The 23,057-nt window shown below is 43.5% G+C and overlaps 1 long non-coding RNA gene and 2 pseudogenes across 3 annotated transcripts in view, besides 2 other annotated features; 2 read left to right on the top strand and 1 right to left on the bottom strand.

The window, feature by feature from the left end:
- Window positions 1-23,057, bottom strand: part of LOC105370108 (uncharacterized) — a 114,586-nt gene that overhangs the window by 39,780 nt on the left and 51,749 nt on the right. For 2 of the 3 annotated variants that reach the window (XR_007063716.1, XR_007063715.1), the window contains one exon: window positions 289-23,057. This exon is cut by the window's right edge and continues 18,937 nt beyond it. The exons of the other annotated variant lie outside the window; for it this stretch is intronic. This is a non-coding gene — a long non-coding RNA (uncharacterized LOC105370108). Of the gene's footprint in view, window positions 1-288 lie in introns of those variants that run through there. 3 annotated transcript variants of the gene reach the window in all.
- Window positions 584-923: an enhancer, noted in NCBI's record as "active region_7445". NCBI's record gives its function as "activates an Ori minimal core promoter by ATAC-STARR-seq in GM12878 lymphoblastoid cells {active_cell/tissue: GM12878}" and the evidence as "EXISTENCE:reporter gene assay evidence [ECO:0000049][PMID:35858748]".
- Window positions 2,439-2,658, top strand: MTND3P1 (MT-ND3 pseudogene 1; annotated as a pseudogene).
- Window positions 4,705-4,764: an enhancer, noted in NCBI's record as "active region_7444". NCBI's record gives its function as "activates an Ori minimal core promoter by ATAC-STARR-seq in GM12878 lymphoblastoid cells {active_cell/tissue: GM12878}" and the evidence as "EXISTENCE:reporter gene assay evidence [ECO:0000049][PMID:35858748]".
- On the top strand, window positions 16,224-16,614 carry NME1P1 (NME/NM23 nucleoside diphosphate kinase 1 pseudogene 1; annotated as a pseudogene).

Genomic DNA, 23,057 nt, shown 5'->3' with positions numbered 1-23,057 from the left:
CATGATGTAGAAACAGAAGGAATAGGATGTTAGTTATAACAACACTTTCTTAGGCATTTCTCCAGTGAAATATGTTTTTCACTGACAGGTCAATTTCATGAACTAGAGCCAAAAAATCACATGCAATGGATACAAGTGAAAATAGGTATTTTCCTCTATGTGTTTCGGTAATGACAGCACATCTTTTATGTACAACCATGGAAACCATACTCAGATAAAGGAAGAGCAATTTCAGGTTATCTCCATAACCCCAAAGAAAATAGTCCAAAGTATTACTATTCACCTGAGGAAAAGAAACCACTTTAGAACCATCTGAAAAATATCCTCTGACATCTACAAGAAAAACATAGCCCTTGTTGAGCTGAACTTTTCACTTTTACATTCACCAGGTTACCATCTTGCTAAAATCAGATGACTCTTTACCTAAAAAACAAATCAAACTTGGCATCCTTCTCCTAAAGCTGCAGTTGTTGCTGGTGTTTTGATGGGGCGGTGGTTTGGGTAATGAAACAGGGAGAGGTCAAACATTCACACACCAAGAGTGATGACCTATTGGAATAACAGGAAGTGAAAACAAACTCAATTGCACTGGGGAGAGCACATCAGCAAAGGGGAACCGGAGGCCTCGAGGAGCATGCAGGCCAAGGCTCCGCTTCTTAGTCCATCCCTCCTTTGACTCTGATTTCATCACCTTGCCATCTGATCCTCCTGGTTGATTTCAATTAATTTCCAAGGATGAGAAAACTCACACTTCATTCCAATGCCTGAGAACACCCGAGTGACTGATTTATGGAGACTGTTGTTAGAAAGACAAACAATGACTTGAAATGGCCAAAGAGTTAGTGACTTGCACAATGGTTTATGGTGACCTCAGATGTGGGAGAAGGTTTCAGTTCTTACATTCAGGGTTGAATTACCACCACTACCAAAATAGCTGGGGAAATTTCTTTCCATGATGTCAGGCCAATAAGCAGTGTTTCTAAAGGAAACGAGTCACTGTGGTCTTCACTTCCCCTTCACTTAACCAAGGAGGGGGTTAAAATACAAAACATAGAGGTGTTAGGACTGGCGGCACGTTTTGTTATTTTTCCAGAATGCATCTCTTAGTTTTTGTACTCTGCGATTTTCTTTTTTTTTTTTTTTTTTTTTGATACAGGGCCTCACTGTGTCACCCAGTCTGGAGTACAGTAGCATGATCATGGCTCACTGTAGCCTCAACTACCCAGGTTCAAACAATCCCACCTCAGCCCCACAGGGAGCTGGGACTATAAATGTTTGCCACCATGCCCAGCTAATTTTTTTTATTTTTATTTTTTATTTTTATTTTTTGTAGACACAGAATCTCGCTATGTTGCCCAGGCTGGTTTTGAACTCCTGGCCTCAAGCAGTCTTCCTGCCTCAGCCACCCAAAGTGCTGGGATTACAAGCATGAGCTATATGCCATTTTCTAAAGGTTTTCTGTTTCTTTTTCTGTAACAAGTCTGACTTTGTTAAACGTGGCTCATTCAGTCCTTTCTCAAACTTAAAGTGTCATGTAACTTCTGTGACTTCTACTCTTGAGTTCACCACCTTTCTTACCTCCAAATACCCACCCACAAACGGAAAAACAAACAAACAAACAAACAAAAAACAGTGACCTCAGCAACACAAAAACACAAATTGAAAGGCTCCTGTCCTGAATGTAAAGATGTATAATCACTTACCAAAATAATTCAACATTTAGTAAAGCATCTCTATCTATGAAAACCCATTGAGAAAGAATGTTTAAAATGATGTCTCTAATAATTCCTTTTTTTTTAGTTCTTCAGTTTTAAGCTCAAAACAGAGAAAATGCTAAGAGCTCGCATTTCAATTACAATCTCCTAGGGACACAGAGGTATTGGAGTCAGTCTCTCATATCATCAGAACCTGAGAGAATCGTGGAGAGTTAAGTGAAGATGTGCACCAAACCAATCATACAGGAACACAAGGAGAAAAATATTTCTAAGACGCAGAAAAAAATTCAAATGATAACAATTATTTTTCTAAGAGAGAAAACATCCACAAAATGCATTTCAATCTGCCCAGTGAATGATTTTAGCATTGTCAGTAGTCTCTACACATGACTAACTTAGAACAACAGAAGTAATTCTGAGTAAAGAGGAATCAGAATAAGTTTTATATTTCAACAACCCCACTGCTCTACGTGAATTCCTGTTGATGGAACCACTTCACCGACAACATTTACTGCCAGGCAGAGAGGGGGCAAATTCTTACATAGCACGCTCAAAAGGTAAGATGCATCGGGGACTGGGAGTAGATGAGTCAGGCTTTGGGAGAAAAGTCACAGAAGCTAAGCTTGGACATGCACTTGGAGGTTAGATCTTAGTGCTTGCTCCTTCGCTGCTTGTGCAGGGGTGACCTACGTCCAATGTTAGGAAGGTGCCAAAGACCAGGGGTTTTATATAATCCATGAGGTAAGTCAACACCCTACTGGCCCTATCACTAATAATTATTACATTCTGACTTCCACAACTCAATACTTACATAGAAAAGTCTAACCCTTACGAATGCGGGTTTGACCCACTATCCTTTGCCCGCATTCCTTTAAGTCAGGACATTGAGTTCTTTTAGTTTCCTCTCTGTTGATAATTAACTGTTATTGTTGTCATCCCAGTCATGTCTAAGAATGCCTATTCTTGGAAAACCAACAGCTATTATCCCCTCCTGTGAGAGGGCACAGAGAGGGAAGCTTTCCGTTTTGTTACTCACTCCATCAGCTGCGGCTCATTCAGGCAGCAGGTCAAATCAGGAGTGTCAGGACAGGTGAGCCCAGGTGACAGGGAAGCACACAGAGGGTCTCCAACTCAGCCTCAGCCAGGAAAGATTTCCTTGTGGCCACACATACATCCTTATCCATGCGGGGTCCTTGTCAGCAATTCCTGGCTGATCCACTACAGAGAGATGCTAAGGTGCATGCACGGCGATTGTCAATGCTGCCTGCAGAATAAGACATAGGAAATCCTACAAAATTCACAAACACAGGTCAAGTGCTCCTATCTAAGCAAAAAGCCAAGCCATTTTTTTACAACATGAATAAATCCTAGAGAATAAGATGCCTAACATTTCGCTGGGTTTTGTTTTCTTTTGCTTTGCATACTAATGAATAAGTATAATTTTTAATATTTAAAATACAATATGACTATTATATATTCATAGAAATTTTAAAAAGGTTAAAGAATAAAAATACTAAATAAGTGTTTACTGTGCTTGCACTAAGTGTGGAAATAATAATTTCTAGAAGAGACAAGGTAGGTTGATTGAACAGAAGATAGTATGAGGACTAACTAGTGTGACTTTTTTCCTCCTAGACAAAGTTTGGTATATTATAAATGGCTCAAAGAAAAAAGTTTAAAAGAGGCTTGTCTGGGTCACTAAACATTAATACTTACAGGATACAAGAAAATGTCTTGCCTCAATTTTAAGTAATTATCCTGCGTTTTGTGTCTACTATTTCATTAAGCCTGTGTGAAACGCATAATTACGATGCAGGTGAGCTTGCTATACCAGCGTTAGCATGAAAGTCTCCGTCAAGTTTCTGAGAGGTCCCCGAGGGCAGAACCAGGACACACTCCTTCTTGTGCATACCACTCCCAGCCCAGTGCCTACACCGCCACATGCATTCCACAAAGGATCCTGGAATTCGTTATGGAGAAATGTCCTCATCCTGTCAATGTCAGTTTCATTTTTGAAGGGAAGAGTGGTAGCTCCCGGTAACAGTTTCCTCTGGCCAACGCTTTTGATAAGACCCCAACGTCTCTCTATAGGATCATCTTATTAGGTTCCTGGACGGATCCCAAACTCCAGTCTCATCACCTCCAACTCCCAATCCATTCCAATACATCTGTTGATGTCTCTCCCTCCTATTCAGAAAAAACACCAAATTCCCTTACATGCCCTGGAGAATCACTGCTTTTTATGAGTAGAGGATGGCTTTCAAGAACAATGCTCTCCTGGGTGAGATAACACATTGACCTGACATCAAGTGAGGGGGCAGGGAAGGTGACTGGAGAACATCCTAACAATCGTCAAACGGAACTAACTTGGTTCCACCAGTTGTGCTGGAGACATACGTTGCTGGTACTTGCTAAATATGACTTAAGGGAGGCCATTGATTTGGAGTGAGCTCCGAAACTACGCCTCAACAGATCACACCAAAATGGAGTCACTCAGGCTAAAGTTTCATGCCACCAAACAGAAATGAAAGTGTTTATCTGGCCTTCTGAGAAATCAGGAGAGATAACAGCCAAATTTCTAAGGAAGCCACTTTCAGCCAGCATGATAAGGAAATCCCCTCTGCTTTAACCCTTTGGAGAAAAGCAACCTGAAATCACCAGATGTTAGCCCACCTGCTTTTTGTATTATGCCATTTCCTTGCTCCTGCTCAAGCAGCCTTATAGAAACCAACTGTCATGCCCAGTGCAGCACCCGTCTAAATCTTTAGATGGGCTATGACTAATAACAGTCAACTCAATCTGTCAACTCCATTTGTTGAAATTTTGCTTTTGGACACGCCGTAGAGATGAAGTGAAATGTGGATTAGGTAAGAAAGACACCCAGAGAAAGGGGACCCTTGGTAGTCCCTAAGGCTAGCCCAGGCGTGAAACACTGTGTATCCACAGCCAGGCAGAAGAAGAGCCTACAAATCACCAGGACTCAGAGGACGCTGAGATGTCCTGCAGGGCAGAGGGGACAGCTTCCGCAAGACATGCACGGTGAACACCCCAAAGGAGCCCAGCAGCTGTGCCCCGTGCCTGGTCAGGGGCAGTGTTTCAGGGTTCCAGGCTCTTGCTGCCCCTCCCACAGGCCAGGATGCTTGCTGCAGGCACATCTCTGCTGCTCCCCACAACTGCACCTCCATGAAGCCTTGTCTAGCAGAAGTGCCTTAGCAATCACTCAAAATATTTCTTCAGAATGTCCTTATAAAAGTACATGTCTCTGGGTGAAACAATTTAAAATTAGTAAAGTCAATATTTAATTTGGACCTAGTTGGGAAATACGGAATTTTCCATGGAGAATCAGAACTGTCACCAGGATACGGTGAATTGGAACCACAGCCCTGGTTCCTGCATGTTGAGAAGACAGCTGCTGGGCTCCAGGGTGATTCAGGGTAGGGACCGCAGTGGCCCTACCAGCCAATGGCTCTAGCCAAGACCTTGGCTAGACAATCACTCTGCAAACATCATCCCCACCACCGCATGTTCCTCCTAATCTGACTCAGCCCGGGCTCTGCCTGCCAGCCCCCGCCCCAGCTCCAGGCTGCTCTTTTCCACTGTAGGATGGCCTTGGATGTTTGTGTTTCCTTTTTTGTTCATATAAGAATATTTAGGGTGTGGAGGACACACAGTTTTCTTTGACCTGTGACACACAGCCTCCCAGGAAGGGTCTTGGATGCTCCACTACACTCCGTCATCCAAGACAACACTGAAAAGACTCCCAGATCTTTCTGTGAGTGAGAAAAGAGACCAGCCCAGCCCCATCAAGCCCCCAGAATGAAAGAAAAAGACCCTGCCACGATGGACTCTCCTCCTCTTAGTCTAGCTAAAGGCTTGTCAACCCTTTGATCTTTCCAAAAAATCAACTCGTGGTTTTGATTTTCTCTATAATTTTTTATTCTCTATTTTACTTCTCTACACTCTAATCTTTATTTTCTTCCCTGTGCTGGTTTGAGGTTTAATTTGCTCCTCTTTTCCTAGTTCCTTAAGGTGTATGACTAGGTTATTACATTGAGGTTTTCATTTTTCTTTAATGTATGCATGCACAGCGATCAATTTCCCTGTGAGCACTTCTTCTAATGCATCCCGTAAGTTTTAGTATGCTGTGTTGACTTCCCTCTTTATCCATAAAAATAATCACACTACCCTGGGGACCACAGAAGGTGTAAAGCAATACAAGTGGTCATTGAGCTTTGATTTTCCTATTCAGAACAGGTTAATCTACTTGTAAATTGAGTTATTCTTTTGCCTAAAGGATAAGCTATTTTTGCTAATCAAATTTTGGTCCAAAAAGAGACATTTTTTCTGGCTCTTTTTCAAGATCTGTGGCCCATCAGAGTAGATCAGTATGAAGGATGGCATAGACCAGAGGTTAATGAATTTGTGGGAAAGATTTCCAAAGTTGGAGAACACACTTTACAGTAACCAGAAAGAATTGGATGAATCTCTGCTTTCTATCACCCAGGACCATTCCCAGTTCCAAATCTTGTTGCAGGGGTCTGCCCACCCTGTCTCTCATGAAAGGCCACCTCTCCATACTGCCCAGCCCCTCTGTCAGCTGGTATCAAAAACTGGCCCCATTTCAGAGGACTGTCCATCAAGTTACATACAGTCTGGGACATGGATGATTTAACAGGTGAGCGTGATCCAGGGGTGCTGAGCAGAATGGAGCCTACTTTCCTAAACAGACGTCAAACTAATGTCCTGGCCTCCTGCAGTTACAAAAGCTCCCTTACAGCACAACTAACTCAGCCCAGAAAACTTCCCAGGTGATTTGAGTTGGATGCAAGTTTGCCCCTTACTTCCAGGCCTCCATTGTTTTGGAATGTTGCTATGCATTATTAAACAGCGGCCACATTTTGTCCAAGAGGTGGCTGCATTTCAATGGCGGTGAAGTAATGCCTGTTTATATGTGCGCTTGCAAAGGGTTTTGGAACACTTTGACATGAAAAGCATCTTACAATACATCATTAGTGATTTCTAACAATCACTAATTGAGAAGTATGAAGGCTCTCTCCCAATACATATTCTTTGAAAGGTGATAGTCAACCAGAAACAGCTTCTGATGGGTTCTCTGCTTTTATCCAGTTGATTGGAGTGCAGTTGAGAATGTCAGTTTAATGGTGAAACAAATCTTAATTTCTTGGAATGCGTATCTGATGAGACAAGACCAAAAAAATAACAGTGAAGCTGAACAACCATCTACATATTTAGCTGCCTGGAACAGTGGGAGCCAGCATGCTAGAAAATAACTTGTATTTTACTCAGACACATAGCTTTTGTGATCATTATTTGCTGGTAAGCCCAACTGATTGTGAAAATCAAACTATTTCCTTCAGAACACTGGCCAAAAAAATATTGCTAAACTTGGCCCCTTAGTACACAATCAAAAGCTACAGATTGCCTAATCACATATTGTATTTTGATAGCTCATTTCTTCTGAGGGGATAAAGTTATTTCACAGGCAGCAATCCCGAGTATTATTAAAATTGTTTTACAAATGGAGAAACTAAAGTAAAGAGAAATTGAGTCATTCACTCAGGATCTCGGCTGAGTCACAGCAAATCTAAGAAAAGAAGCCCTTTCTCCTCACTCTGTTCACTTGTCCCCTTCAAGCTCTGTGTCCTCAGGCAAAATAGCTCCTTGGCTTTATTTTGAATAAATTATCAGATTTAGGTCAATTCAAAATTTTATTATGAAGTAAAAAGAAAAAAGAAAGAAAAAAACATACAAACTCACCAAAAATCAGCAGATTAAGCCTTTGATAAAATGTGACTGAAATGCTCTCCCAGAAACAGACAGGAAACAGTATCACATAGAGACATTCCTTTTGATGTTAAGGTCACTCAGCCTCTCCATCAGTCCTAACTGAGCAAATTCCCTGACTTCCCATTTTCACAAATTCCTTAATCTTTAATCCGCGTTCATTTTCTTCAAAGCATAAATGTGCATAGTCTTCCTAATAAAGTTAAGAAGCACAGTTCTGAAGTTCTTCGAAACCAAAAACAGACTATCTTTAAAGACTGCCAAATACTGGGGGCTTAAATCTGCACCCCATTTACAAATGCAATGAAAGGCAGTAGGGAAAACACAACAGTGCAAAAACACAATTTTCCATGCAATTTACAAATGGTTAGTTTTGCATAGATCTGCTATGCTCCTTCCTTATCACATCTCTGTATCTCTTACCCTCACCCACAACTCTGCAAGCTGCAATTTGAGAGTTCTCAAACCAACACTGGGTTCACGCCAACTTACAAACTTTATATTTGCTTAGCAAACATCAAAGGATGAATAATGTGTTGTCATTCCCTGACCTTACAAGAAGGTTGAATATAAAATAACAACCTTGGTCACCGTGTAGAATGACAGCACTGAAGCAGCTTACCCCTTGGCCTGGATTCTTGCCTTCTTCGTCTAAAGGGAACAGGCTGTTGCTTTGCACAGGGTGGGCACTCCACGCATATTGATTCTTTCATTCTCCTGACAAGGCGGGCAGCAAAAGCAAGAAAGGCAAAGGGACTAGGAATGCACGAAACTGAGCTCAAGTACTGGCCTGCTCCTCAGAACCAGCTGTGTGGACCTGGGCTCAGCACCTCACCTTTCCAACTTTCAAGCTGTTAAAGGGAAAGCTGGTGACTATCAAGGACTTCTCCTAAAACTCCAGGATTCAAAGGCAGTGGATCAAAGCATCACTGTTCCCAAAGCAACAGACGCCTGAACCCTGCAGGCCAGGGCCACTTCCCGCTGCCTCCTTTGGGGCTCCATCCACTGGCTGACCCACTCATCATCTCTTGCCAGATGCATTCCAACCTGTGTTCTCCTTCTTAAATTGCCTTTCCCCACTCAGCTGACTTAGCTCTCTTTTCCGGATGTGTCATGAGTGGCGCAAGGTCAAACATAACCAGGTCCACACACGTTCGTGTCTTTCCACAAGGTCAGACTTTTATGGATGCTATTTCAATCATAAAAGCCAGGAGATACATGGCGTTCCCAAGGAGGCGATTCTCCTTAGCGCCATTCACAAAGCATTCACAAGGCAGTCAGACCTGGTGGCACACAGGCTCCAGCCACTCCACAAGTCAGTTAATACTGCAAGCCATACATAGTAGTATACTTAATATAGAAATGTTATAGGTTAAAGCTTTCACATCAAAAAGAGTAAAATTTAACATTAAGAGGAAAACAGGGTAGGGAAAGGAGTTAATGAACTAGTCCAAGGAAAGCGATGTGACACTCTCCTAGGCTGAGTGTCCTAGCTGATCCAGATGGTCACCAACATTTTGCAAGGAAGAGTTTTTGATTTGGGCAGAGACTTCAGGGGCAAATGCAGGTGCTGACCACGAGTGACTGCAAAACAGAATTAGCAGGATGGCCGCGTCAAACTCATGATGCTCCTGCTCTTCTGATAGCCCTGGAGTCCTCTGGTGAGAGCTGACAGGAAAGAGAGGTTCTGGTTACACCCTCCTTTGGTTGGGTGTCGCCTCTACTGATTAGGTGAGTATCAGTCCTGTTGGCATGACTGCCTTTTGAGCTGTAAGGAGTCTTTTCCTAAAATGGAGTTACTTCTGTCAAGGGTGCTCTATATAAAAGGCGGTCCAGCCACTCCCCAAACCCTGAACAGGGTGTCATAATGGGGGCCCACCTTTCCTTTCCCTGAGCTCCCCAGGCACCCTGCTCTCCCCTACCAGGGCCTAGCCCCAGTCCTCCTCCTGGCCATATCGGAAGCTGGTCCCGCTTTGCCAAGGCAGAGTAATGATCATGGCACTCATTTCCTTACAACACTTCACACTCATTTCCTTACAACACTTCACACTCATTTCCTTACAACACTTGACTTTTTCACTCACAACTCACAAATTGTAGGAGGTAGATACAACTATGAGCATCCTAAATGAAGGAGGTAAGGTAGAAAGAAGTTAACTCATCCCAGATTTCCAGGAGCAATAAGCCACAGAGCTGGAATGTGAATTCAGTGCACCCTGGAAGGCAAGATCATGCTACCCGCTGCTTCTCTGATGCACCCTTGGTGTGCATCCTCGATCCCCTGAACACACCCGCCTGCTGCCGGGGCACATGCTGAGCACTGATGGAGGCTCCACCATTCCCACATGGCCCTGCCTGCAGCCGCCTATGCCCTGAGCAGCCTCTATGCTCTTCAGATGACCATGGCTCACAGGCGTCTTTCCCTCCACCAGTATCTTGCACTTAATAGACATTAAGTGGCCACTTATTGAATGAATACAGGCATGAATGAGACTTTAGTGTTCATTTAATTAATTATGGATGTGCTGTCTTGGGGAAAAAAAAGACACATCCTGAAGATATAGTAAAATTGCCCAAGAGAATGCAGCAGGCTATGTTAAGATATATAGATATAGATAGATGATTTTCTGAGAATATTAACATCACTCAAACTAAATTGAAAGACAATTACATGCCAACAAAATCTGAAATAGAAGATTCAAGTAGAATACCTGATAGGATGTTACATAGAAAAGAGACCAGTAGCTGGGGGAAACAGTTAATCCCTGTTCACACAGGGAATGGCCTCCAGGAAACACAAACGCACGCTTGGCCTTTACAGATTTTAGCCCCTGGGACTTACATTCATTGCTCTCAGAAAACGTATTTCTACCTGCTGGTTTGCAGTGGGCTGTCCGGATTTACATTTAGACATGTGCACACTTTTGTGACTGTGTGTGCCTTTGTAATTCTGTCCTCTTCCGGTTCGTGCTATTCCCCAAGTTTTCTCTTTTTCTGTCCCAGGTAGTATTTTATTTTCCCCAGAGCCAGCTGCATTCCTCCATCTTTTTTCCCTCAAGTTCTTACTCAACTCAATGACACTATTTGGAAGTTGTTGTTCTAAAACAGTTCCCATTGCTTGCAGTGAGCCGAGATCGCGCCACAGCACTCCAGCCTGGGTGACAGCGCGAGACTCAGTCTCAAAAAAAACAAAAAACAAAAAACAAAAAACAGCTCCCATCTAGATGTATCTGTCATTCATCCTTTCTGTGCTTCTCTGACACACACCTTCTCTGCCTCCCTTGTACAACAACTACGCTCAATGACAGAAGCACCTTGATATTAGCACTACCATGGATTCACTCTACCAAATCACTGTTAAACACAATCGGCTCTTCCAAAAAAAAGTCAGTATTAGAGGTATTTGTCTGAGTAGGGATTATGTGCAAGGAGATGGGCCATGTGTACATTATTGATAAAGCTGGGTGTCGGTACACAGGAGGTCCATTAGTCTATATTCTCTCTCATTTTGTAACACTTGGAAATTCTTCATCATGAGAAGTTAAAAGTGAAATTATTCAGCAAAGAAATAAGAACCTGTTTTAAAAAACCAAAGGTGGCTGGCCGTGGTGGCTCATGCATGTAATCCTCACACTTTGGGAGGCCGAGGCAGACGGATCACCTGAGGTCAGGAAGTTCAAGACCAACTTGGCCAACATGGTGAAACCCCATCTCTACTAAAAATACAAAAAAGAAATTAGCCAGGCGTGGTGGCAGACACCTGTAATCCCAGCTACTTGGGAGGCTGAGGCAGGAGAATTGCTTGAACCCAGGAGGCAGAAGTTGCAGTGAGCCAAGATCAAGCCACTGCACTCCAGCCTGGGTGACAGAGCAAGACTCCATCTCAAACAAACAAACAAACAAACAAACAAAAAAACAACAAAGGTATAGACAACCACCAAGATCATGCCACTGCACTTCAGCCTGGGTGACAGAGCGAAACTCGGTCAAAAAAAAGAAAAACACAGGAAAACAAAACAACAACAAAACAACCAAAGGCATAGACATCCTCTAAGTATCTCTCACATTAGACTCAAAATGCTCCTATCTTGATATTGGAGATCCAATTCAGTTGCTAGCACTAAAGGCTCTATCTGGGGATTTTCTTCAGACGTTTAGCTGCGCAAACTTGTAGTGCACGTTGTAAGTAAACGCAGAATCCATGATGGCTACTCTCCAAGCCAAGCGGCCAGGAGACAGAAGTCAGGCCAGAAAGTCTCCACAACTGCTGCCGGAGAGCCCTGTTGGTGCTGTAGCTGCAGGAAGGCTAACGAGGAAAAGTTAGCAGAGCTAGCAGGGCTATTGTCACCCATGGTTGAGCCTGCACCAGGCCTGCACTACCAGGCCACTCCCTACAGCCTCCACAACTAAGTACCGAGTCATACACAGGGCTCACTCAAAAGAATCATCTCTATCTTTTGTTACTTCTCCTTCAAAAGGAATTAGTCATTTTGGTAAAATAAGATGGCAGTTCACCAAAAACATTCTGGACAGAAGGATCAGTCATAACCTCATTGCAATAATGAGATAACCAAGACTTTAAAAAATAGAGGATAACTTGGATTTGTTGTTACCTAGAATCAATATTACATTAGTGAGACAATTGTCAGATGGTATTTCAGAGATTCAGATGTTTTCTTTGGTTGTCCATTCTTCCCACTTAAGTCTGGGTGAACCTCAGAAAAATAAAAGCCATATCAGTCCACGTCATTTGGGAGGAAACCTAAAAACTAATCCCCAAATCAGCATACCTCGCAGCAGTGGTGTTTAGCATTTAGCATTCCTAGGGATGAAAAATAACCCTGCCTGAATTGACGTCAGAAGTGAAGCAGTGATTGCAATGCGATCATCCAGTATCATCCATTCAGCCAGTAGGCACTGGGATGGCTGTACCAGGTGTTAAGATATTGCAGCACTTCCGTGCTGGCTGGGAAGTAGCCACTGACCCTAAATCACAGAGTGCCCGCCTATCACCCTTGCTGCCAAGCCACTCTTCTAGGAATCCCAGGGCCCCAGCAGGGGGCCCTCATGAGGCTTGCCCCAGCACTCTGACTTGTGTCTTTTTACCGACTGGTTGGAGATTGATGCTGTCCTGATTGACAAACATTTCACCTTTTACCCTGGGCTAGATCTGAGCTACTATCTTTGCTACATGTGTAGGCAGCATCAGCAGCTGTGCTCCTGGGCAAACATTATGTTAGCAAAGTTTTCCAGAAGAGAAGGCTGCCCAAAGGGAGCAGAAGCAGAATGAGGCAGTGCTCCTAGGCACCTTGCTCATCACCCCATTGACCGTAAGGGGATCCTGGTGCACTACGAATATACATCAGGGAAGAAAATGCCACAAGTCTGACATAAAACCAACATGTGAATTATTGTTTTAATTAATAAAAAAAATTGTGCTTGAGTTTGGCATTTGGAAGGAAAGGAAAGGAAAGGAAGAGACAGAAAGAAGAAAGAGAAAGAAAGAGAGAGAAAGGAAGGAAGGAAGAGAGAGAGAGAGAGAGAGAGAAACTGGTGATGAGTTGGACATCTTGAAAACTTAAAATGAGCCAGTGTAAATTTGTGAGTTTTATTTATGGACAGACTTCTTGGCAACAATCACAAGCATTCAAAATCATCATCTTAGAATGGGCCAAATTTCTATAACAGAGAGATGATCAATATAAGTTCTTGAAGATGATGATGTCTTAGTCCTTTTTCTGCTGCTATAAAAAAATAGCACAGACTGACTAATTTATAAGTTTGCTTGGCTCACATTTCTGGAAGCTGAAAATTCTACAGCATGTTGCTGACATCTGGCGAGGGTCACTCCACAGTGGAAGACAGAAGAGGGAAATATCCTCAAGACAGAGAGAAAAAGACAGCCAAACTCATCCTTTTATTAGATGCCCACTCTCAAAAAATTGGCATTAATCCATTCATGAGAACAGAGCCCTCATGACCTAATCAGCTCTTAAAGGCCCCACCTCCCAACACTGTTGCATTGACAATTATGTTTTAACATCAGTTTTCAAGAAGACATTCAAACCAGAGCATGCCTCCCCAGCTCCCCCAAAACTTATGTTCTTCTCATATACAAAATACCTTCATTCCATCCCAATAACCTCAAAGTTCTTATCTTTTTCCAGTATTATTTTAAAAGTCTAAAGTCTAGAGCCTCATCTAAATCAGGAATGGGTGAGACTCAAGGCATGGTTCATCCCGAGGCAAACTCCTCTCTAGGTATGAGCCTATAAAATCAAAACGAGTTATCTATTTCCAAAATATAAAGGTGAGATGGGTATAGAATAGACATTCTCATTCCAAATGGGAGAAAAGGGCAGAAAGAAAGGGGTAACTCGTTCCAATTAAGTGTAAAACCCAACAAGGAAAACAACCCCAAGACTTAAAGCTCCAAAATAAGCTCTTTTGACCTTATTTCCCACATCCTTGGCACGCTGGGGTGGGAGTTGGGCCCAAGACCTTAGGCAGTCCCTCTCCTAAGGCTTTGCTGGACTCAGTCCACCCAGTAGCTCTCACGGTTAGTTTTACGCCAGGCAGCTCTTCCAGGCTGAAGCTGCATGCTAGTAGCTCTGTAGTTCTGGGGGTTCGAGGGCAGCCCCACTTCCACAGCCCCACTAGTAACTCTGTGGTAGCCCTAATAGTAACTCTGTGGTAGTTCCAACCCCAACTACTACTCAGGATTGCCAAAGTAGGGGCAGGAGCTCGCTGCTGTGGCTCCAACCCTGTGGTGTCTCTGACTGGGTCTCCAAGCTGTTGACCACATCTTCTGAAATTTAGCTGGAGGCTGCCTTGGTCCCATAGTCCTTGCGTTCTGCCCATCTCCAGAGTCAGCAACATAGATACTGCCAAGGTTTATGGCTTACACCTTACAGGTTGGTGGGTCAAGCAGCACCTGGACCCACTTGAGCCATAACTGGGATGATCAAGGAGAACTGTGACAGAATGCAGGGAGCAGAGACCCTAGGGGGCTCTGGGAAACAAGCTCATGCCAAAACCAGCTTGTTCCCCAAAACCATTCTGCCCCTATAGAGCTCTGGGCCCGTGATGGGGGTGCAGTCCCAAAGCGCTCTGAAATGTGTCTGGGAACACTCTCCCATTGTCTTGAGATCCTTTCTATCTATACTAATCTCCTTAGCAAAGGGTCACTTGGCCATATCCTTGGTTTGCTCTTCTGAACATGCTTTTTCATTCTTTACATGACAGGATGAACATTTTCAAAATATTCCTGTTCTGCTTCTTTTTAAGTTATAAATTGCTTCTTTAAGTCATTTCTTGCCTTTTGCATCTTACTGTATGGGTTGAATATAGCCACTCAGCTTCTTTAATATTTTGCTTAGAAATGTCTTCCACCAGATAGCCTACTTTATTGCTCCTACATTCTGCCTTCCATAAAACCCACAGGCATGGACAGAATTCATCCAAGTTATTTGTCACCTTATAACAAGGATGGCCTTTATTCCAGTTTCTAATACTTTGTTCCTCATTTCCATGAGACCTCATCAGAATGGCCTTTACTGTTTATATTTCTACCAACATTCTAGTCACAACCACTTAAGTAATCTCTAAGATTTATACTTTCCCTACAGGTCTCCTCTTCTCCTGAGCCCTCACCAGAATTACCCTTAATGCTCCATTTACAGCAATTTAGGCTTGTCTAGCCTGCACCTCCAAATTCTTCTAGCCTCTATTCATTAACCATTGCCAAGGCCACTTTCACATTTTTAGGTATTTGCTACAGCAATAAGCCCACCTCTCAGCACCAATGTTTTGTCTTAGTCCATGTTCTGCTGCTATAAGAGAATATAACAGACTGGATAATTTTATAGAAAATAGAACTTTATTTGGACCATGGTTCTGGAGGCTGGAAAGTCCAAGAGCATGGTGCCAGCATCTGGCAAGAGTCATCCTACGGTGGAAAGCAAAAGGGGGAAGCACAAGCATGAGGCTGAGAGAGAAAACTGGGCCAAACTCATCCTTTTTGCAGGGACCCACTTTTCCAATAACCCACTTGCACAATAACATTATTAACCCACTCATGAGGGCTCTAATCACCTCTTGAAAGCCTCACCTCCCAATACCATAACATGGGCAACTAAATTTCAACATTGAGTTTTGGAGGGGATATTCAAAGCATAGCAGATGATATTTGTGATGATGACAATAATGATGATGGTCTTTGTTCTAAATTAAGTGTGTTAACCCAATATTTTCCCCTTTATTGTTCATTGCCTCCTAATTACATTCAAAGCTATGCATATTCCTCTGTACAGCAATTTAAACAATGTTCCCTAAGAACAAGTACACTGCCTTGCCATTGTTGACAGCTATCAGAGCACCTCACACTTCATTAGAAACATATAAAAACATACTTGGCTATGAGAAAACACTTTTTTAAATGAAGCTAGAAACAGCTCTTACAGAAATCCTAAGATAGGCCTATACAGTATTACTGATTGCTCATGGTTATCTTCTTGGCAGAAATATAGGACAAATGAGTATTGACTGTATGATTTCCCAATGTTGGTGGCAATGCCTGCTCATTCTTTGGGAGCTGTGAGTGGGGATCACCATGGATGCTAGATGGCCACTGCCTGAAAGCATGTAGGGCCAGGGGCATTTTCAGTGCTGGTAGTGGCAGTCAAAGGTAATGCCAAAGCAGCTAGTGGGACCATGGCCAACAGTCAGCACACCTTCATTGCCTTCAAGCTCAGCAGGGTCCAGTGAGGCCTTATTGGGGAGATCATTGAGTGTTTCAAGCAAACGGGATTTGTCTTGTTGGTTTCAAATTCAAATAGGCTTCTGATGACCTCCTCATGCATTCTGTGCAATACTGGCACTCAGAGCCAGTGGCTGCTATAATCTGGGAGGCACTGAATGTGAATACAGGCCACAGAGGAAACCACGGAGACCAACCCTATGGACAGCAAGCCTGGGACCATCCACAAAAGCTTTTGCATTGAAGATGGCAGGAACATTATGTATGGTAGCATGTCTGTCGGGAGTGCAGAGAAGAGGACTGGCCTGTATTTTCACCCCCAAGGAACTGGTGGATTGCAATGTGTGACAGAGGGCAGGCCAGCATGCTTCCCCACTCTACTCTCCTCCCTTCCATGGGCAGGAGACCATGCTCTAACAAATCTAGTTATTTCCATCAACTTCCTTGTAATCTAGAGAGGAACTCTTGGAGCTGGAAGTGCTCCCTGTACAATGTCATGTGCTACTATCAGGTGAAAATATTTCATCCCAATATGGGACAAAAAGGTGTAAGAAATCAATGTTGGCACAATGACAAAAGTTCAATGATGTTGGCAGACAAGGGCTGCCCCCGATACTATCCTCACACTAATGTGGAGCCTCAGACAGGCCCTGCTCTCCACCCTGTGCGGCTACCTTCATCTGAAAACCCAAAGTGTGGTTCAATTTCCAGCAGTTTCCTTTGCTCTCTACCCCTTATCCTGTGCCTTAGGCAGCTGGATTGGCCTCTGAAACATGTCTGGATTTCCCTTGTAATCTAGAGGGTAACTCTTGGAGCTGGAGGTGCTCCCAGCTCCAAGTGCAGCTCAAAGTGCAGCATGTCCCTGCACTCTCCACAGACATGCTGCCATGAATAATGTTCCTGCCATCTTCAATGCAAAAGCTCCTGTGGATGGTCCCAGGCTTGCTGTCCACAGGGTTGGTCTATCTGGTTTCCTCCGTGGCCCGTATTCACACTCAGTGCCTCCCAGATCATAGCAGAAAGCAATGCCCGCTCATCCTTCAGGACAAGCATGCACATGAAGAAGCATGACACTCCCTGCGGTCAGGTGCTGGTAACCAGAGCAAGAACCAGAGGGCCACTGTTTCAGTGGTCAATCCAGCTAGCTAAGGCACGGGGTAAGGGGTAGAGAGCAAAGGAAACTGCAGGCAAATGAACCAAAATTTGGATTTTCAGAGGAAGGTGGCAGCACAGTGTGGAGCACAGTGTGTCTGAGGCTCCACATTAGTGTGAAAACAGTGTCTGGGGCAGGAACGGGTCTGCTACCATGGAAGAGACTAGGTAAGTGGTCATGACTGTCGAAGGTAGGCAGATTATGTTTCCCATTCAGGGATGCAGCAAAATCAAGGCAAGTGTATCTCAGGTGCACATGGTGTGTGTTGCCTTAACCAGAGGGCAGCTATCCCTTGTCCATTTTCAAAGGTTGCACAGAGACACTTTCGCAACTGTAAAGGGGCAGCAAAATCCTTCCTGGCTTTTCCTTCCTGTCACAGTGCACAACTGGGAACCCACAGAGAAGTAGTCAAAACAGCCGGTGTGCATGCATCTCTGCCGGTCACGGCCCCCCAGAGGTTCTAGAGGTGACTGCTTCAACCCAGAGTTTCCCCTACACCATCGATAAGCAGTATATAGTCACAGAGAGAACAGTTTCCAGGGGATTGGAATTGTACACCGTAGCCTATTAACAGGTTATGAAATCAAGTTAGTGCCTCATAGATAACATTTCTTCAATGAAGTAGAGTAGAATAGAATGAAACAGAAAATAGAATAATAGTAGTGCATGTGTCACATTGGCATGGGTATTGGATTACGATGTTAAATGTAATTCTAACTTTTAATCAAAATCAAGCATGTTTGAAAACTGCTGCTTTAGAGTTTCTTTCACAAAGCATGAACGTGTTAGGTGATGTGCCCAAATTCAGAAGCAGAGTTGTTTAGTCAAAGATGAAACGATGTTATTTGCATTACACACTTAACTATGCAAATAAAGAACATTTACTTTTCCTATACCGAAAGCACAGTTTGGCCGAGGATAGAGAGCTGGTCTCCTATATGAGAATGATGATGAAAAGCAAGTAGACACAAACTGCATATGAGCCACCAATGTAGAAACTCCGCTGTTTGCGGTCTTTACACGGTCCCACCTCCCAAATCACGAGTGATGGTCCCACATTTCCTCATTCTATGCAAAAGGAAAATTAAAATGGTTGTCATGTTTTAAACTCATAGCCCAAAGGCATTGCTTTTGCTAAGTTTTCAGGAAACTGGAATACATAATTTTGTGCATGTAATTTTAAAATGTGTCCTAAATGTGTCTAGCAGCTAAACTCAGGTTGTTCCCCTCCTAGTTTCTGTAGGTTAGTTCCCTGTTATAGTGTCCAGAGAAGCAGTTCACATTAATCTTGAGCATAAAGGGCCTTCATGAAGCCTGAAGCCAGAGATGACAACTGAGACCAGGTGGGGCATGCCATAAAAAAACATGGCAGGATGGGAAAGGACACTGGGGTTGGGCCACCAATCAGAAGAGAAGGCATGGAGGAAGCTCCCCTTTTCCTGTCCGAAGCACTCTCCACCAAGCAATACACTCCACAGACTTGCCCAGGAGTGGGCTCTGAGTGCTCTGTGTGGATGGCTCATACTGCCTCATAATTTGATGTAGGGAGAAGCCTCAAGAACCCATAGCTATGGATTTGACGGAATAAATTATCTATGGATATCTGAAGTTTCTGCTGCCCAGAAGGAATCACACTACAATTAAATGTATGTTGGGAAAAAAATGTCCAAGTGACCCATGAAGAAAATATGAAGAGCTGGGTTTAGTGCAGGAAATCAGAGTAAGTTCCATCTGTAATATCTCCAGTTCATTTGCCGAAATGGGCCACTCTAGAGCCAGATTCCACCACACACACTGAGGGGCGCTGATATGGTTTGGATCTGTGTCCCCAACCACATCTCATGTTCAATTGTAATCTCCATTGTTGGAGGTGGGGCCTGCTGGGAGGTGATTGGATCATGGGGGTGGATCCTTCATAAATAGTTTCACACCATCCTCTTGGTGCTGTTCTCGTGATAGTGAGTTCTTGTGAGATCTGCTTGTTTAAAAGTGCGTAGCACCTCCTACCACCCCTTGCAGCTGCTCCCATCTTGTAAGATGTACCTGCTTCCCCTTCACTTTCTGCCACCATTGTAAGTTTCCTGTGGCCTCTCCAGAAGCCAAGTAGATTCCAGCATTACGCCTCCTGTACAGCCTGCAGAACTGTGAGCCAATTAACCTCTTTCCTTTATAAATTACCCAGTCTCAGGTATTTCTTTATACCAATGAAGCACGGACTAATGCAGGTGCTGACAACAAAGTCAAGCAAGCATCACCTGGGAACTGCAAGCCAGAAGTGTCCTACACCTACCACCTGAAAGCTAAGGAGGCAGAGATTAACATCTGCCATTTGTTTGCATTTAAACTTATCTTCACTGCCAATCAGATTGTAACTTGCATAACGTAGGTCATTAAAACTGATTATGCATTTACCCTCCTTCAAATTTTACAACAGAGTGTAAGTCAACACAAGTATAAAAGATTGAACAATAATCTCAGTCTTGAAAACAAAAAAGGTGCTCTCTGTAAATCTGTTAAGTGCAATAATGTACGAAGAACTGTCTATAATAAAAAATGCTATTGGGTAGACCTGCTCATCCTGGCTAGGGTGAATGGACACCAGAAAGTACCACAAGAATAAAAAGGGAAAAAAGCCTTTGATCACGAGCGGTTAAATAGTAGGTGGCTCCGAAGACAGAGGACACAGAATTTGCTGCAATATCTTATACTTGGCATCCAAAATACTACCTTTTGTGTAACAGTGTATATCAATATAACTTTCTTCCATCTCCTGATGACGCTAGAACCTTGCTCTTGAAAGAAGCCCCAACATTGGACAGTCCTGGGCAGATCTGCACTTACACATCTGCAAAGACAGAAATCCACAGACTGGAGGGGCCAGACATATTCCTTACCCCCACCTCTACTGTTTCAAATCACCTCCATTATTCTAATGTAATGAATGCTCAGAGACACTGTTTTAGACTTGCCTCTTAACTGAATGTTTTAAATGTTTTTAAACAAACAGTTTGAGCAACATATAATTTCAAAAGTATGACTGAGATTGCCCTAGGAGCAAATATTGATGGGAGATGGGGAGAGCAGACCCATGGCTGCACCAGGTACCTCTGGAAAGTGAGGATGAGTCATTGCAGAGAAAAGATAAAAACTTTGTCTGCAAGCCAGGATTCTGCATGAATTTGACTTTAATCTGTGTGACCACTGGCCACATAGTAGGACTTGCCAAAAACTTGTTGGTAGCATGTTGAATGAAATGGGCATATTTATGGAATGGATAAATCTTAATCAAATAGTCACTTGGTTATAGAAATAGCCCAAAAATAAGACAAATGTAAACACGATGAAGAGCCACTAAAACAAATGTGGAAACAGCAAGATGTCCAACTAGAACTAGTCCTAATATGAACACTGCATGTCCAGTGAACACGGGAAGCGCCGCTCTGTTAGTGCTTTTGATACTGGGCACAGGTCCGGGTGTCTGTCCTCTGCACTCTGTCTCTCGGTCAGGAGTGTCCCCACTGCTCGTGTTGTGTGTTTGATTATCTGTGGTATCACAAGAGCAGTCTTCAGAGCCCTGTGGTGGTGTTGGTGGGTCAATGACATTCAAAGGGTAGAAGAGGTGGAAGGGGATGCTCAGCTGGCGATTTTTTAAGTGCTGAAAAGTCTGTGCCTAAGAGTTGACCTATAAACCAGCACTCTCACTAGCACATGCAGAATGGGTACCCCTTCTTTATTCCAAACAAGCAATTTAGTAATAACAAATAGCCTTGTTATTACTTTTCACTTTTAGAGTTGCCTTTGATGTTCATCTTAAGGGCATTTTTATCCCATGAAAATATTGTGCAGGGGGAGGTAGCGTGATTTGTTTCAGTCCTTTAACCCCACTGTCTGGCCTGGATCCTGGACTCCCAGGAATGGGCAAGGGCTCAAGTCAAAAAACATGTATGGGGCACTTCTTACAAGGACTATATTGAGGAATTATGGGAGACCCTAGGAGAAAACTGACATGGGCCCCACCAACGAGCTGAGGCTGTAGCTCAAAGACTATGTGCATTACTATAAAACTAGCTACAGTATGGTAGGTATAGCAAGAAAACTTCAAAAAAGTTTCAAAGGCCAAAAGTATACTGTTGCTGGGATCAATCATGGAGGCCTTTGTGGGGGAAGTAGTCTATAAATACTCTAATTGAAAGCAGATTAATCTAGTCAACGAAAATACATTCCAAAGACAGTGTGCCCCTGCTCCAGGCTTTCGGGATGTGTGGCACCTTTTCTCTTAAGTGCCAAGGGGCTCCTTGCATGTCTTAAATGACTCTATCCACCTGCCCACCTTCCCTCCAGCACCATCCTCTCTCCACCCCCATGCCTCCTTCCCTTAGTCACCCTCCCATGTATGAAAGGCAAGTCACAAATCTACTGTGCTTGGCCAGGCCTGTAATCTGAACATTTTGGGAGGCCAAGATGGACAGATCACCTGAGGTCAGGAGTTCAAGGTCAGCCTGGCCAACATGGCAAAACCCTGTCTCTACTAAAAAATACAAAAATTAGCCAGGCATTGTGGTGGGCGGGCCTGTAATCCCAGCTACTCAGGAGGCTGAGGCAAGGAGAACTGCTTGAACCTGGGAGGTGAAGGTGGCAGTGAGCCCAGATCACACCAAGGCAACAGAGCAAGACTCCATCTCAAAGAAAAAAAAAAAAAAAACCTACTGTTCTTTCACAGCCTAGATCTCAAGTTAATACCCAGCCATAATCATTTTTCTGACATGCCTTCATAACATGGGGCCTCTCTCGCACACTCAAACACCAACTTTTGAATTGCCTTGGGTTAAGGAATCTCTCAGGAAGACCAGCCTCTTTGAATTAACAGCACTCTCTTTGAGCAAACTATCTAGGTATGGTTTTCCTCATGAGACCCTGATCACCTCTCTTCCTTCTTCTCTGTTGTAACCACCAGAGAATTTGTCATGCAAAGGAATTCAAAACCTCAACATGCAAAGAGTCATAGGTCCCAGAGAGGCTAAAGAAAAAAAATGGTTTAAATCGTTGCGAATTTTCCAGAGCTACTGAGAAATTTGCCTAAGTAACCAGACCAGAATCTTGAAGATGCAGAGGATAAGGATTTGAAGTCACAGGCACCCAAAAGCAAGCTTCAGCAAAATTCATTTTCAGGAACTATTTTGACCCTGAGGAGTTTTAGATGAATTGGGATTGAATTTCCAAGGAGCCAATGGGCATGAAGCAGTTGTAAATTCAGCAACAGAAAAGGGCCTCCTCTGCTAGGAGGCTGACCAGATGGAGTCAGGTGATGCCCACATCTTGACGACTTGGGGTAGAGTCACTGGGGTAGAGTCACAGGGATTCTCTTTTATCTACTTGCATACTATCCAGGACTCAAGTGTCTGCAAGGACCATGTACCTCAGCAGGGCTCAATCCTTGTCAGTTTACCACAGGAATGACCAATGTAGTCAAAATACATGCCTTCAAATGTCACAATTATCTAGAGCACCTGTGCGTAACTCTAGCTTAACATTTGCATCATGTATTGATATACTTTTGCAAATGTCTGTCCCTTACTGGACTGTGCACAGTTAAATTGGCTTTTATGCCTCTACATGACCTAAGTCC

Source organism: Homo sapiens, chromosome 13 (genome assembly GCF_000001405.40).
Source record: "Homo sapiens chromosome 13, GRCh38.p14 Primary Assembly".
NCBI classification, from domain to species: domain Eukaryota; kingdom Metazoa; phylum Chordata; class Mammalia; order Primates; family Hominidae; genus Homo; species Homo sapiens.
Note: the sequence above shows the minus strand (reverse complement) of the source record. Positions and strands in the feature narration are given on the sequence as shown.